Below are 15,999 nucleotides of genomic sequence, written 5' to 3' on the forward strand. Positions count from 1 at the left end.
ACAGCATTTCTCTTTAGCTTTAATAAACATTGGTTTCTTCATGGTACCACTCATTTTGAATTCAGTGGTCTCCAGTTCTCCCTGCTAAATGAGGCCCACTTTCTAAAACCAAAGTGATAATTTTATAAAAATGAAATGAGATATTTGTTACCACAGAAGTCCTCATTTACGAGAGTACATCCCCATAGAACTAGTCCACGGTGAGCCTCAGGGGCATGCAAGCTGTTTAACGATGCCCCCAGCCTAGAAAGGCCCAGGCTTGGGTGTTCATGCTCCGCTGTTGCCTTCTTGAAATTCATAATCATCTTTGAACAAGGGGTCCCGCAGTGTGTGGTGGCTCACGCCTGTAATCCCAACACTCTGGGAGGCTGAAGCGGGTGGATCACCTGAGGTCGGGAGTTTGAGACCAGCCTGACCAACATGGTGAAACCCCATCTCTACTAAAAATACAGAAATTAACCAGGCGTGGTTGGTGGGTGCCTGTAATCCCAGCTACTCAGGAGGCTGAGGCAGGAGAATCACTCAAACCTGGGAGGTGGAGGTTGCAGTGAGTCGAGATCACGCCACTGCACTCCAGCCTGGGCAACAGAGCGAGACTCCGTCTCAAAAAAGAAAAACCAAGGGGTCCCACATTTGCATTTTTGCTCTGGGTCCTGTAAATTACGTAGCCAGGCCTGCATTTGTCCTGGGAGATGCTCTACCAAAAAACAATAAATAACACCAAGCATTCTGTAATCAAACACTGTAGGAACCCCTGCTTATCCTAGCCTCATTCTCATTCTGGAAGACTGCACATTTATCATGTTAAAGACTCAGCTAGGGAGGCCCAACTTCATTCAACTCAGTGTTTCTTATTTTTTTAAAACAGAACTCATTTTTTAAAAAAATTATTGGCTGGGCGTGGTGGCTCACGCCTGTAATCCCAGCACTTTGGGAGGCTGAGGTGGGCGGATCACGAGGTCAGGAGATCGAGACCATCCTGGCTAACACGGTGAAACCCCGTCTCTACTAAAAATACAAAAAAAAATGAGCTGGGCATGGTGGCGGGCGCCTGTAGTCCCAGCTACTGGGGAGGCTGAGGCAGGAGAATGGCATGAACCCGGGAGGCGGAGCTTGCTGTGAGCCAAGATCACGCCACTGCACTCCAGCCTGGGCAACAGAGCGAGACTCCATCTCAAAAAAAAAAAAAAATTATTTAACACCTTTATTTCTGCTGAATGTACTTTAGAAAGATTGAGTGATTTGAATAAAGTGACGGTGGCCTAAGAGTCTATTTTCTGGAATTGAGGGAATACTGCCATCGATCCTTGAAAAATATTTATTTAGTTCCTCCTAGAGGCCGGGCACAGTGGCTCACGCATGTAATCCTGGCCTGCACTTTGGAAGGCTGAGGTGGACAGATTGCCTGAGCTCAGGAGTTCAAGACCAGCCTGGGTAACAAGGTGAAACCCGTCTCTACTAAAATACAAAAAATTAGCTGGGCGTGGTGATGTGTGCTTGTAATCCCAGCTACTCGGGAGGCTGAGGCAGGAGAATTGCTTGAACTCAGGAGGCGGAGGCAGAGGTTGCAATGAGCTGGGATTGCACCACTGCACTCCAGCCTGGGCAACAGAGCAAGACTCTGTCTCAAAAAAAAAAAAAAATTATCTAGCCCCTCCTAGAAATGTTAATTCCTTAAATCTGAGCTTCAGCTTTCTGTGAAGCAGAATTATCTCCAAACTTTAACAAACAATGGTCAGAACTGTTTTTAAGGTCTTGGAGAGAGATCATTTTCAGTCTTTATTAATCGGACTTGAGATTATTTAGAAACTTGGCTCTGAATATTGTATTCAGAATGTTTTCACTCATTTGTGAGTAATTTTTTAAATATCCCCTTTCCTCAGATGCAGAATCAGGGCTTTTTGTCCAGCATTATGTTGCAAGTCCTGGTTCTGTTGAAACATTCCATACCATCTGTGTGATGGTTATCGGCACCTCCACCGGTGCCCTGAAGACAGTTTTGTGCTGTGAGTCCAGAAACAGGAAACACTTCAGGCTGTGTGTCAGAAGCATTGTCAGTGGTTGTGTTTTGCCCACTGGCAGGGGGCATTCTTTAAATCCTGGGATGCTTCTGCGCTTTGGGCTCCACTGTTCCAGCAGTGATTAGAAATAACGCTGTAGGCCGGGCGCGGTGGCTCACCCCTGTAATCCCAGCACTTTGGGAGGCTGAGGTGGGCAGATTACCTGAGGTCAGGAGTGCGACACCAGCCTGACCAACATGGTGTAACCCCGTCTCTACTAAAAATACAAAATTAGCTGGGCGTGGTGGCGCATGCCTGTAATCCCAGCTACTCAGAAGGCTGAGGCGGGAGAATCGCTTGAACCTGGGAGGCCGAGGTTGCAGTGAGCCGAGATTGTGCCATTGCACTCCAGCCTGGGCAACAAGAGCAAAACTCTGTCTCAAAAAAAAAAGAAATAACACCTTAGCCCACTGCATTATTGACCTGTGTCTGCATGAGCTGTGGACCACATTATAATCAGAGAGATCTCTCAGATGTTGTCACTTTCCTGCTCTACCCGCAGATGTAAATTTCAGCCAACAGCAGTGTTTGTGCTCATTTTCCCCGGCTCTCCCACACATGTAATCCCTTCTGAGCATGTTGGCTTCAAATAATATGGCCAGCCACCTCTTCCACCACGAGATCTTCAGGAAATGGCAGGCCACTGGGTTTACATGCAGATGGCATGGGAGCACACAAGGCACGGCTGTGGGGAGTTGGCACTTGCTCCAGAATATGGAGCACCGAGTGAAGGTTTCAGTTTCCTGCACTGAGAGAAACAAGGGCATTCCGAGGCTTTTCCACTTTATCCCTAAAGAGTTTCACAACGCTTGTTTGCCGATTTCTACATAGATGCCACCTTTCTGAGTTGTATGTATTTACATGCCAAATGTATTCATTGAGCAGCGTTAAATAATGGTGTTCACCCCTAAAGTGCATATACTGGTAAAATTAAGAATGATCGTAATTAAGCCTCTTGCAATAGTCATTAGTTCAGAGAATATTTAAGAATATTAAAGGTGCTTTGCTAATGTCCTCGTTAGTTTTGTTTTGACAAAATCAGTACTTCAGTTTCTTGTTTCTTTTTTTTTTGAGACGGAGTCTTACTCTCGCTCTGTCGCCCAGACTGGAGACTGGAGTGCAGTGGCACGATCTTGGCTCACTGCAACGTCCACCTCCCAGGTTCAAGCGATTCTCCTGCCTCAGCCTCCCGAGTAGCTGGGGTTACAGGCACACACTATGCCTGGCTAATTTTTTTTTTTTTTTTGAGACGGAGTCTCGCTCTGTCACCCAGGCTGGAGTGCAGTGGCGCAATGTCGGCTCACTGCAAGCTCTGCCTCCTGGGTTCACGCCATTCTCCTGCCTCAGCCTCCCGAGTAGCTGGGACTACAGGCGCCCGCCACCACACCCAGCTAATTTTTTTGTATTTTTAGTAGAGACGGGGTTTCACCATGCTGGCCAGGCTGGTCTCGAACTCTTGACCTCAGGTAAACCACCCACCTCAGCCTCCCAAAGTTCTGGGATTACAGGCGTGAGCCACCATGCCCAGCCCAGTACTTCAGTTTCTTAGCGATGAAATCCACCCAATGTCAGGCGATGACTATTATTATTTTACTGATTTATACTGTTTGTTCTCTATTAATGTCTTATTTTCCCCAACCGATTTTGAAGTTGAGTAAGGACTATGTTCCGCGGGTATCTTGAGTCCTCTGAGGCACTGAGCTTGGTGATTTGGACGCAGGAGCTGCTCATTAGTGAGCTGATAGCTGGGAGCATAGCGCATCCCACATCACCTGACTTACCTTGGTGTCCTCCTTTGTAGCCTTTTGTCATACATGATATGGAGACACTGTGTATGGCTGAGAAGACGCTGGTGGCCAAGCTGGTGGCCAATGGCATCCAGAACAAGGAGGCGGAGGTCCGCATCTTTCACTGCTGCCAGTGCACGTCAGTGGAGACCGTCACGGAGCTCACGGAATTCGCCAAGGCCATCCCAGGCTTCGCAAACTTGGACCTGAACGATCAAGTGACATTGCTAAAATACGGAGTTTATGAGGCCATATTCGCCATGCTGTCTTCTGTGATGAACAAAGACGGGATGCTGGTAGCGTATGGAAATGGGTTTATAACTCGTGAATTCCTAAAAAGCCTAAGGAAACCGTTCTGTGATATCATGGAACCCAAGTTTGATTTTGCCATGAAGTTCAATGCACTGGAACTGGATGACAGTGATATCTCCCTTTTTGTGGCTGCTATCATTTGCTGTGGAGGTGAGTGGTTGATTTAATCTGCTGGTATCATGTCACTGACAGGCTCCTGTCTTGAAAAATTTGACAATGGGAAATCCAGTACCAGCCTGAGCTGTTCCAGTGGAGGGGACACTCACATGGTGGGAAGACGTCTGACCCCCAGTCACTGCTGAGAATTCAGTGGGAATTATAACAATATTGTATAATATTATAGTATATATTGTTATTATCTATAAATACATATTTAATATTATGTAAATGTATGACATTTTAATCATAATATTAGCCAGGTGTGGGGGTGCACACCTTTAGTCCCAGCTACTTACTCAGTAGACTGAGGCAAAAGGATCTCTTGAGCCCAGGAGTTCAGGTTGCAATGAGTTATGAATGCACCACTGCACTCTAGCCTGGGCAACAGAACAAGACCTATTTCTTTAAAAAAAAATTATATATTTTGCACAAATATATATATAGAGAAAAAGAGGTCGGACATGGGCCTGTAATCCCAGCCCTTTGGGAGGCTGAGGTGGGTGGATCACTTGAGCCCAGGAGGTTGAGACCAGCCTGGGCAACATGGCAAGACCCCGTCTCTACAAAAAAAAAAATAGAAAAAATTAGTCAAGTATGGTGGCATGTACCTGTAGTCCCAGCTACTTGAGAGGCTGAGGTGGGAGGATCACTTAAGCCCAGGAGACAAAGGTTGCAGTGAGCCAAGGTCACGCCACCACACTCCAGCCTGGGCGACGAAGAATGACCCTGTCTCAAAAAAAAAAAAAAAAAAAATTATACACACACACACACACACACATTTCGTTTATATTATATCTAATATTATAAACAGATATAATTTATATATTATGATATTCCTGTATATATTATATAATGATGTTGTATTCATATTATAGACAATATTGTATGAAGTGCTATACAGATGTCAGTATAGTTGCTGTCACAGTTGGTTATGTTGATGAAAAGTATATTTCCTAATGCAAAATATAATATCAGTCAGCAGCCAAGTGGCAGTGACTGCAAGGTTTGCTTTGCCCGAGGAAGCAGATCCCAGGGAAGGCCGATCTGGTCCTCTCTGTGGAAGCTGGCTCTGCAGCCTCCACATTTTTGGCTCGGTGTCACGTTCCTTTAAATAGCCCCATCTCAGGTCTAGGAAGGTCATCCACCTACTGCAAACTCGGCTGACCTTACCCAGGGTTGGTGGAGACAGATGGGGTCTCCCACACTGCCTGCAGCCATACTGCGCCTGGGGGATTGACTCACTGTCAGCATGGAGCTGACTCAGCCCTACCAGCCGTGCCCGTTACTGTGTGGCTGGGCACAAGTCAGATGAAGGAAGTCCTTGCGCTCTGGCATAAAGTGTACAAAGACAAAGCAGTTATGCATAATTTGTCCTTTAGTATGGTCAGGATGTAGCATTGTGGGTAAAATGCAGTTGCAGAACTATTTATATGTAGCATGATCACAGTTTTATAAAGGAAATTATAATCCTATATCAATCCTATGTATATAGAAAAATGTCCAGTGAGATATATGTTAAACCTATTATGGTGGGATTAAAATTATGAGGGGGGATTTCTATTTTTCAAAAGATTCCTCCTTTTTTTTTTTTTTGAGACAGAGTCTCCGTCTGTCACCCTGGCTGGAGTGCAGTGGCACGATCTCAGGTCACTGCAACTTCCGCCTCCTGGGTTCAAGTGATTCGCCTGCCTCAGCCTCCTGAGTAGCTGAGATTACAGGAACATGCCAGCACACCTGGCTAATTTTTGTATTTTTAGTAAAGATGGGGTTTCACCATATTGGCCAGGCTGGTCTCAAACTCCTGACCCCGGGTGACCCACCCACCTCGGCCTCCCAAAGTGCTGGGATTACAGGCATGAGCCACTGCACCCGGCAATAATTCCTCTCTTTAGAGACTTAATAGTTATAGCCCCAGCCACTCTGGAGGCCGAGGCAGGAGGATTGCTTGAGCCTAGGAGTTCCAGTCCAGCCTAAGCAACAGAGCAAGACCCCATCACTAAAACAATACAAAAACAAGAATTTTAGAAATAAAAACTTAATAATTACATTTACAACCAAAAACAATGAAGATGTTTAAATCCTCATCACTAGCAACCCTGTTAAGAATCATAGTAATGACTGGGTCTGTAAGGGAGCACCGCCTGCTGAACATGGCTCAGGGCAGTATTTTCTGGACCAAGAATCAGGTCTCATGCTTTGAGACTGTCCCAGGATGTCTAGTGCCAGCTACCCCAGGCAGGTCATCTGGTGTGAATGTTGACTCTTCCTGCACCAAGTCTCAGACCTGCCCCACCCTCCTCCCCACTCTGGGTCTCCTGATCTTGGCTCACTGCAATCTCCGTCTCCCAGGTTCAAGCGATTCTCCCACCTCAGCCTCCCGAGTATCTGGGATTACAGGCGTGAGCCACCGTGCCTGGCCTACAAAACCTAGTTCTAACACAATCACTCCTTAAATATGGTGGAACACTTGAAGCTTGATATCTAGTTTGGATTCAAAAGCTTCATTTCCCATATTATGCAAAACTGGTGGTTGTGATCTCCAGAATGTACTGTTCCTCCTACTAGCTCTAATTTTTCTCCCTGACAGGTGGTCATCAGGTAAATCACAAGTGAAAAGGCCGCACCATAAGGTGTACTTAGGGCACTATTGCCGCCTAGTAGTATGAATATTTAGGAAAGAGTACTGGTCCTGTCTGTCCCTACTTCACCTATTGACTTTGGAAAAACCTATGTCTATCTTCCAGTCAAGTTGACAATATCTAAAGGCAGCTCAGTTTTTTTCTAAGAAAGGCCACATAAAATAGGCATGTTTGGTTCCTGAAACTGATAAGCAGTTCTTGGGTGATTATCACACTCAAACCTCTCTCTCTTCTTTCGAGACTAGATCGTCCTGGCCTTCTAAACGTAGGACACATTGAAAAAATGCAGGAGGGTATTGTACATGTGCTCAGACTCCACCTGCAGAGCAACCACCCGGACGATATCTTTCTCTTCCCAAAACTTCTTCAAAAAATGGCAGACCTCCGGCAGCTGGTGACGGAGCATGCGCAGCTGGTGCAGATCATCAAGAAGACGGAGTCGGATGCTGCGCTGCACCCGCTACTGCAGGAGATCTACAGGGACATGTACTGAGTTCCTTCAGATCAGCCACACCTTTTCCAGGAGTTCTGAAGCTGACAGCACTACAAAGGAGACGGGGGAGCAGCACGATTTTGCACAAATATCCACCACTTTAACCTTAGAGCTTGGACAGTCTGAGCTGTAGGTAACCGGCATATTATTCCATATCTTTGTTTTAACCAGTACTTCTAAGAGCATAGAACTCAAATGCTGGGGGTAGGTGGCTAATCTCAGGACTGGGAAGATTACGGCGAATTATGCTCAATGGTCTGATTTTAACTCACCCGATGTTAATCAATGCACATTGCTTTAGATCACATTCGTGATTTACCATTTAATTAACTGGTAACCTCAAAATTCGTGGCCTGTCTTCCCATTCACCCCGCTTTTGACTATTGTGCTCCTTTATAATTCTGAAAACTAATCAGCACTTTTTAACAATGTTTATAATCCTATAAGTCTAGATGTATCCAAAGGTGAAGTATGTAAAAAGCAGCAAAATATTTATTTCAAAGACTTCACTTCTGTTTCCTGAATCTAAAGAAAGACAACATGCTGCTTTTTAATCATAGGATGGAGAATTTTAAAGAACTGTTTGGGCCAGGCACAGTCGCTCATACTTGTAATCCCAGCACTTTGGGAGGCCGAGGCGGGTGGATCACAAGGTCAGCAGATCGAGACCATCCTGGCCAACATGGTGAAACCCTGTCTCTACTAAAAATACAAAAATTAGCCGGGTGTGGTGGCACATGCCTGTAATCCCAGCTACTCGGGAAGCTGAGGCAGGAGAATTGCTTGAACCAGGGAGTTGGAGGTTGCAGTGAGCTAAGACTGCACCACTGCACTCCAGCCTGGTGACAGAACGAGACTCTGTCTTAAAAACAAACAAACAAAAAAAAAATCTGTTAGATAAGCTATCAAAATGCAGCTGTTGTTTTGTTTTTGGCTCACTGTTTTCGTGGTTGTAACTAATATGTGGAAAGGCCCATTTCCAGGTTTGCGTAGAAGAGCCCAGAAAACAGAGTCTCAAGACCCCCGCTCTGGACTGTCATAAGCTAGCACCCGTGGTAAGCGGGACGAGACAAGCTCCCGAAGCCCGCCAGCTTCCTGCTCCACTCAGCTCCGTCCAGTCAACCTGAACCCACCCAGTCCAGCTGTCTGTGGGAATGGTGGTGTTCTTAGGGACAGACTGACACCTTACTTGTCAGTGTTCCTCCGGGCCCCATTTGGCAGCTCCCGTATCTTTTGTTATGTTGCTTTTAAAGATATGATGTTTTATTGTTTTAACTCTTGGTGACAGTAGATGCTCTCTGGAGCGCAGACGAGGCACATGTGTCTTCATAGCCTGGGCTGGGTGGGAGCCAGTCACCCTGCGGATCGAGAGAGGGGGTAGAGTCTTCTTCAAATGGCAGTTTTACTTCAAATGGCAGATTTCACAAGAGTTGGTTATTTTTTACAATGGTTTAGGTTGTTAAGTCTCCTTTGTATGTAAGGTAGTTTTTTCAACATCTAAAATTTTTGTTTTAGCCTTCAAAACCAACTTACCAACCTCAGTCCAGCTGGGAAGGCAGCGTTGATTATGGTAGTTTGTCAAGAATATATGGACCTGGAAACACTTTCTCTCTCTGTCCACCTGGTAGATAAATTGTCCTGTTGAGAATTTTTAGATCTGGACTGGAACTGCCAGGACCACCGCCTCCAGGGAGTCGCTGGGCACCTGGAGGTATCGTCGATGCCTCTCCCCCATCTTTAGAAAATTTGGCTCTTCTGAGGTCATTATTATTTTAAGAATGATTAGGATTGATAAGGGTCCCATGACCAGCATTATGAAAATGCGAGAGTGGGAAGGACACAGTGTGAGACTTCCACTAGAAAAAAGTGAAAGTTAGGGTTAGGACATCCTTTTTTAAAAATTACAAATTTAGTCCGTTTTGGTTTTTGTAATCAGGCTAGGCACAGTGGCTCACACATGGAATCCCAGCACTTTGGGAGGCCGAGGTGGGAGGATCACTTGAGCCCAGGAGTTCGAGACCAGCCTAGGCAACATAGCAAGACCCTGTCTGTACACAAAATTTAAAAATTAGTTCATCGGGGTGGCACACATCAGTAGTCCCAGCTACTCTGCAGGCTGAGGTGGGAGGATTGCTTGAACCCAGGAGGTCGAGGCTGCAGTGAGCTGTGATCTCACCACTGCATTCCAGCCTGGGTGACAGAGTTAGATTCCACCCTCTCCCACCCCGGCAAAAAAAAAAAAAAAAGATGCAATCAAAGGGGCTGTTGGCCAGCAATGGCAGCAGCAGCGGCGGGCAGTCTGCCCAAGTGTCTTAGGAACCAAAAGCAAATAAAAGTGTTTCCATATATGCCACCAGCCAAGTGGCCATCCTAATTCAGAAAGAAGCTAGCCTTTGAGTGTCTGTCATGGTGCATCCGTTTCAGTATTATTTCCTAAAATGAGAAGCCCCTGTGTCAACAAGATCCAGGGGCTGGAGCCCAATGCCAAGCCTGTGTTGTCCCCAGCGACCCTGCAGCTGCTCGCTCTGATGTACCCTGTGCCATTCAAGGAGATGTGGTCCAGGAAAGTGAGCCTCATGGTTTTCAGAGAAGTCATTGTTCTGTTTACATTTTCATAAAACCTGTTTAAAATAGCTCCCCGTCTCAGGCTTTCAGCAGTAACAGTGAGCTGACTGGCAAGTTCGATGTTAGCTCCCGGGACACTCAGCAGCGATGGTGAGCATTTTGGTTTCCTTAAGGCCCAGCAAGACTTCCAGGGACATCTCTGGTGAAGCCAGAATGGAGACACCCGTGACCTCAGGCTGAAAGTCACTCGACATTGGTCTCTTGTGTTGATAGGGAAGGAAATCAGGCATTCCTATTTCTTTAAATAACAAAACCACTAATTGCCACTCAATGCTGGAATATTTTGGGTCACCTAATCATAGATTTCTCAGGGCATCAATACTCAAATATAGGCTGATTATGCCCCAGTTCAAATGGGAACTATTAACAGAGTGCATTTCTTGCTTGCTGGGTTTCAACAGACATCAGCCAAAAGAACAAAAGAGATGTCAGGACAGATTCCAGGAGTGTCGGAGCACATGTGTGGCACCCGCTCCCTCTGGCAGCGAATGTAGGAAGTCGCCAAATTTACCCACTCTTCAACAAGTCATTGTTTAAACACGGTTTTTCATTTTCTCAACTTTTAATAGCAAAAAGTGCCAAAGTCCTCAGAGACCTAACAGCCTTGGTCTACCGTGCTGACCAGGGTGAAGGCACGGCGAGGGACTCCTCCCAGACGTGCCTCTTGTGTGCCAGCTGGCTGTGGCTCGGGAGCAGACGCAGGCCTCTCCATTGTCCAGGGGAGCCTGGCGGCGCATCCCTCCTCTCCCACCTCCTGGCACTTCCAGCTGGGTGTCCCACATGTTGGATTCCGTCCCCACCACACTTCCAGAGACCGGAGAACTGTGCAGGGCCTAAGGCCGTTTGGATGAATTGTCAAAACAAGATGCTTCCAGTTACAGCGGCAGGAGCGGGACTGGGAGCACGGGCTGACGGCTGCTGGTGCCTTTCTTCCCACCTCGCTTGCCTGTTTCCGCTTGACCCTTCCTCCAGCTCCGATGAGAAGAGTATAAAGCATCTTCCTAACGGGTGTGTTTGCTATACGAACATAATGGACGTGAAGTGGGGCAGAAACCCAGAACTCAGCATTCAAGGATGCCCAGGAGAGCTGTCCCTGTTTTAAAGAGCTGTGTTTTGTTTTGTTTCGCATTTAGAGAGCAGACAAGGCACCCTTCTGCTGCGCTGATACGTTTCTTACACTGGGCCATTTTAGACCCCCAGGGAAACAGCCTTCCTGGAGCGTTGTCTGGAGGTTCCAGGGACAGGGCAGCCTCCCAGAGCCGAGCAAGAGCTCAAGGTACAAATGAGAGATTTGCTATACCGTGAGAAGTCAACAACTTAGCCACCACTTCCCCGCAATGGACCATGTAACAAATACCTCAGCAGGCCCTGCAAAAGGCCATGCTAGAGCTGAGGCGCACAGCCTGTGGCCTCTGTAGTTAGGGCAGGTGGGATGGAGACTCCTTGAGTGCACACACCTGAGCCTGCCCACACACAGGGGAGCAGCATCTCGTATGACGTCTGGAAGGAACTTCGGTTGTGTAAAGGGAGCCTTGAAGATACGTGCAAAAGGTGCTACCCCAATTTGGTGAAACTGACATTGGGCACGTCTTGGGCTTAGGAGAAGCGGCCGATGGTCCCGGCCTGCAGTGACAAACCCCCCTCCCCGCACCGCCCCCAGCACCCCCTCTCCTCTTCACCTCTTCCTGCTGGCCACGAGGAAGCCACTTCCTCAGAGAGACCCTACCAGATGCGGATGGAAACAGATGCACCAAAGCAAGCCCTGATGAAACCGCGACTTCCTAAGGTCTGTCTCCTCTGAACTTGCACCTGGGCCTCTCTGTGTTTGGTTCCAAGCACTTCCCACCTCAAACTCCCATTTTCAAACCACTGTATCTCTGCGCACATCTGCTACTTACCAGCCGCATACATGATGGAGGGTTTTTTGGTCCTGATCCAGTGGCCACACCTGTCTTTGAAATGTCTCACTGAACTCCAGTTTTAAAATAGATTCATTGCTTCAACACAGCAAGCCCAATGCACCCAGCTAAGACTGGCTTGACCGACAGCCTGGCCTTTGGTGGGGGGCTTCCTGGGGCCTGGGGAAAGCTGGCCACCTTCAACAGCTGGTACCTCTTCAACAGTGTGGCCTTTCAAAATGCAGATGCCACCAGGAGAACATGCCCACAGCTCACCACCTATGGATGCCATGGCTCTGGGCAGCTTTCAAAGCAGGTTCCTGTGGTCTCCTCAGCTGTTTGAGGGGGTAACAGCAAATCAGCCTCCATTTTAAAATGAAAACACCAGCCTCCAGATGTAGGGCCTGCTGGGTGTTGCTAGCCGCTGGTCCCCAGGCACGGTGCACTTTCTCCACCTCCTGCAGCCTCCCTGTTGTTTCTAGACTCTTGCACCTGGTGAGTGCAAGGATAGGTGACCCAGGGGCCTGCAGCCTTGTCCTCAGCTCCCATCTCCTGGACTGCCAGCCTCACCCTCTGCAGTTAGCATGGTTGGCCTGATGCAGGGATCCCGAGGGATTACTTTTTAGACCTTCTTTCACATTCAGAAAAGTAGTATAGATTCAGGAGAGGCAAGAAAATTATGCTGTCCATAGAAGTCACCCATGAAGACTGATGCCACCACCTGAAGGCTCATGATTGTTAAAAATGTCCACGGGAACCTCTCGTCCACAGGAGGTTTGTCTCAACACTTCCCATTTTTACGGCATTGGCATTGCCAAGCATGGGGAAGTATCTGCTCTTCTCATGTTAAAAGTGGCCCAGCTTTTCTTAACTCAGTCCAAGCTGACTTGTTTAGCTGCACTGGAATTTCTTACCAACCAAATATTTGCATCGAGCAAAGGGGGCTGTGTGCACCTCCCTAATGGCAGCGATGATGGCTGCTGTCATTCAAGCCCATCTTCAGACGTCACAGTCTGGAAGTGAAATGTCCACAAACATCTGTGGCAGAAAAGGCTATACGGACCACCCAGTTGTGCTGCAGCTTTACAGAGCAAGGAAGGGTTGTGGCAAATAAATGATTAACCTGCCTCGACTGTGCTGAGGGCAACAAAGGCCATCTCACCAAAGGATTATTCGATGCCATTAAATCATCCCGTGACCTTCCTGCTTCCGAGTCCATGGCCTTTGCCCAGGGCATGTACTCCCCTGAGAGGCCTTCTGCCTAGAAAGATCTATGACTGGGTTCCAAAGTTGAGGCCTAGGTTTTTGCTGGGATTTAGATATTTTCAGGCACCATTTTGACAGCATTCAGGAAAACGGTTATTGACCCCATAGACTAGGGTAAGAATAAAGGCAATAAATTTGGTCTGACTCAGAATATAGGAGATCCATATATTTCTCTGGAAACCACAGTGTACACTAAAATGTGAAATTGAAGGTTTTGTTAAAAAGAAAAAGATAATGAGCTTCATGCTTTGTTTAATTACATAATGATTTCCATTACGCTATTTCTGTGAAATGCAGCAGGTTCTTAAACGTTATTTCAGTGGCATGGGCTGGAAGCTTATCACAAAAAGCCATGTGTGTGGCCTTATCAGAACAGAAAGAGACAGGCTGGTGCCCAAGGCTGCTGCCTGCTCCACCTTTTGCCAGCTCTGGACATCTGAGGACGTCCCGGCAGATCTGGAATGGGGCCCTCAACTGACCATTTGCTTCTCAGAATTTCAGTTTGAGACATGAGAGGTATAATCAGTTACTTTTCTCCCCCCAGAGAAACCCTTTTGTGAGGGGAGAGGAGCTATGGTATGTGGTTCAGCTGAAACACATACAACTGCATCCTTTTGGAGTCCTTTGCCAACAAAAACAGACCAACAGACCAGATGGTGTCCATGTTCAATATCATGTCTTGATGGACGCAGCTGATGACCTCAAATACTTGAGTGGTCTCATGGCTGTTAGATGGATTATTTGAAAAAAAAAAAAAAAAAAGAGAGAAAAAATAATTGATTTTTACATCAGAGATAGCAAACTAAGACCTGGGGAGGGGGGTCAGCTTTTATTTTATTTTATTTTTTTTAAGTTTGCTAGTTGGGTCAAATGTGAGGAGGAGGGAGTCTACCTGCCACCTCTTCTCTTGCCCCTCTTCTGCCCACACATCCAGCATCCAAAATCCATTCATTTAATGAATTGATAAAGTGCCGTGCAAACTGGTGCACAAACAGGCCCCCAGTCCACGCAGCCTGGCTCCTAGGAAAAGTGGTGACCGGGCGTGGGGGGGCATGCCGCAGCCCTGGGACACAGTCGGGCACCTTCCCCGGACCCCCAGGCCTTGGCTGTGCCTCAAGTCAGAGAGGGTCAGCCTTCAGGCCCCGGAGACGAGTGACTGGCCGATCATTTCACAATAAAATCACTCACTTTTGGCAACTTCACTTTTTTTAAGGCACAGTCAGTTCCTTTTCTCATGTACCTCACAAAAGATGAAGACCATGTAGTACTCTTTTTGGTAAAGTTACAGTGTTCATGTTAAATATCACTTTTTTCTACATTGTGTGGTAAAAAGAACTACGTTAATAGCTATATCTTAAATACTGTGATTTGACTTTTTGAAAAATATCCTAATACAAATATTTTACTAACTTACAATCACTCATTTAATAAGAAACATTTGGATTCTTTTGAAATCAGTGTTAATTGACTCATATTCTTAAAAGCCTGGCTCTTGACCCTATTGGAAACACAAAGGAAGCTGAAATCAAACATCTAAAATACACTGCGTACACGTGTGCGTGCACACACACACACACACACACACACACACAGCTCTTCATTTCTCCTGAGCCATGCAGAATTTACTTTCAATGTGGAAATCTGTTCCCTTTACCACACTGTATATGCACAGAGCACAAGAGAGGCTATCTCTAGTCACTTCCACCAGCGAGGCCTTAGACTCCGTATTAGAGGCCACCGATTTCATACAACAGTGTTTCGCTAAAGACCCTTCACTATTCTTGTTTAGTAAATAGCTGTCTGCTCTTCAGGGAACTGTTACCTATGGGTTATTACCAAAGAACGCTGGCAATTGGAAATGTCCTGATGGAAATTCTTTGCACGTGCCGGTTCTCTGGCATCCTCCAGGTGGCCCAACCCAAAGCAGAAAGCAGAAACCACAGACCCCGTGAGTCTCCCCATACCTTGTTTCCAATAACTTGGCAAAACTTCTTGGTGCATATTGGTTACACCCTCTGGGATTCATAATGCCATTAGGCTAAAACCCTAAGAGAGAGGGTTGACAGAAACACACGCGAGAATGAGGCAGATCCCAGAGCAAGGACTGGGCCCAGACTCTCCACATGTGCTCTACTAGTGAGTGCCTTATACTCTCAGTATTTTGGGGCTTACAGCTTCTTATTTGTGCTAAAAAGGTGCAGTTCCAAAGTAGGAACTGCCACACAGGCCCCAGCATCCTCTCTCCAACTTCATACCTCTCTCCTGGTGGGGGGAGCGGGCATCCAGGACCTCCGGAATCAAGGATGTGCAGAGAAGAGCGAAAGTAATTTTTCTAGTCACATGAACTGATTGGTTCCAGGCAATTAGAAAATGGCTATAAAATAACCTTAATTTTAAAAAAAAATCTTGGGTCTTCGTTTTCCTATTAGGAGACTGAACTGACCACATGTATTGATTTATATCCTGAATATATGGGAACTTCTGTGTTTGGGATGTCCTACTGTAAGACTGATGAATGTACAGAGTTAATTTCAGGGTACAGTTTTGCCTTAATGGTTTTAAAAAATAAACTATTTTTTAAAATTTTTTGGTGAGTTTTGAGTGATGCTGCGAGATGGACTGTTTGGTCTAAAAGAACCAAGTCCCCAGCTGTGGGGTCCGCCCTCCGCCAGAACAGTCCCTGCGCCCCTCATGGAGGCTGTCTCCACCTGCACAGTCCCTTTTGTGTCCTTCAACATACAGAATGGATCAAGGACAATC

The 15,999-nt window shown here is 46.7% G+C and overlaps 1 protein-coding gene across 25 annotated transcripts in view; it reads left to right on the forward strand.

Annotated features, from left to right (window-relative positions):
• Positions 1-15,826, forward strand: part of PPARA (peroxisome proliferator activated receptor alpha) — a 93,231-nt gene extending 77,405 nt beyond the window's left edge. For 12 of the 25 annotated variants that reach the window (XM_047441420.1, XM_047441421.1, XM_047441423.1 and 9 more), the window contains 2 exons: positions 3,862-4,309; positions 7,203-15,826. In XM_047441420.1, coding sequence (XP_047297376.1) covers positions 3,862-4,309; positions 7,203-7,450 — 696 coding nt within the window. In that variant the 3' untranslated portion in view covers positions 7,451-15,826. Of the gene's footprint in view, positions 1-3,861; positions 4,310-7,202 lie in introns of those variants that run through there. The other 13 variants (NM_005036.6, NM_001362872.2, NM_001393946.1 and 10 more) reach the window with 4 other exon arrangements.

This window comes from Homo sapiens, chromosome 22, assembly GCF_000001405.40.
Source record: "Homo sapiens chromosome 22, GRCh38.p14 Primary Assembly".
NCBI lineage: Eukaryota > Metazoa > Chordata > Mammalia > Primates > Hominidae > Homo > Homo sapiens.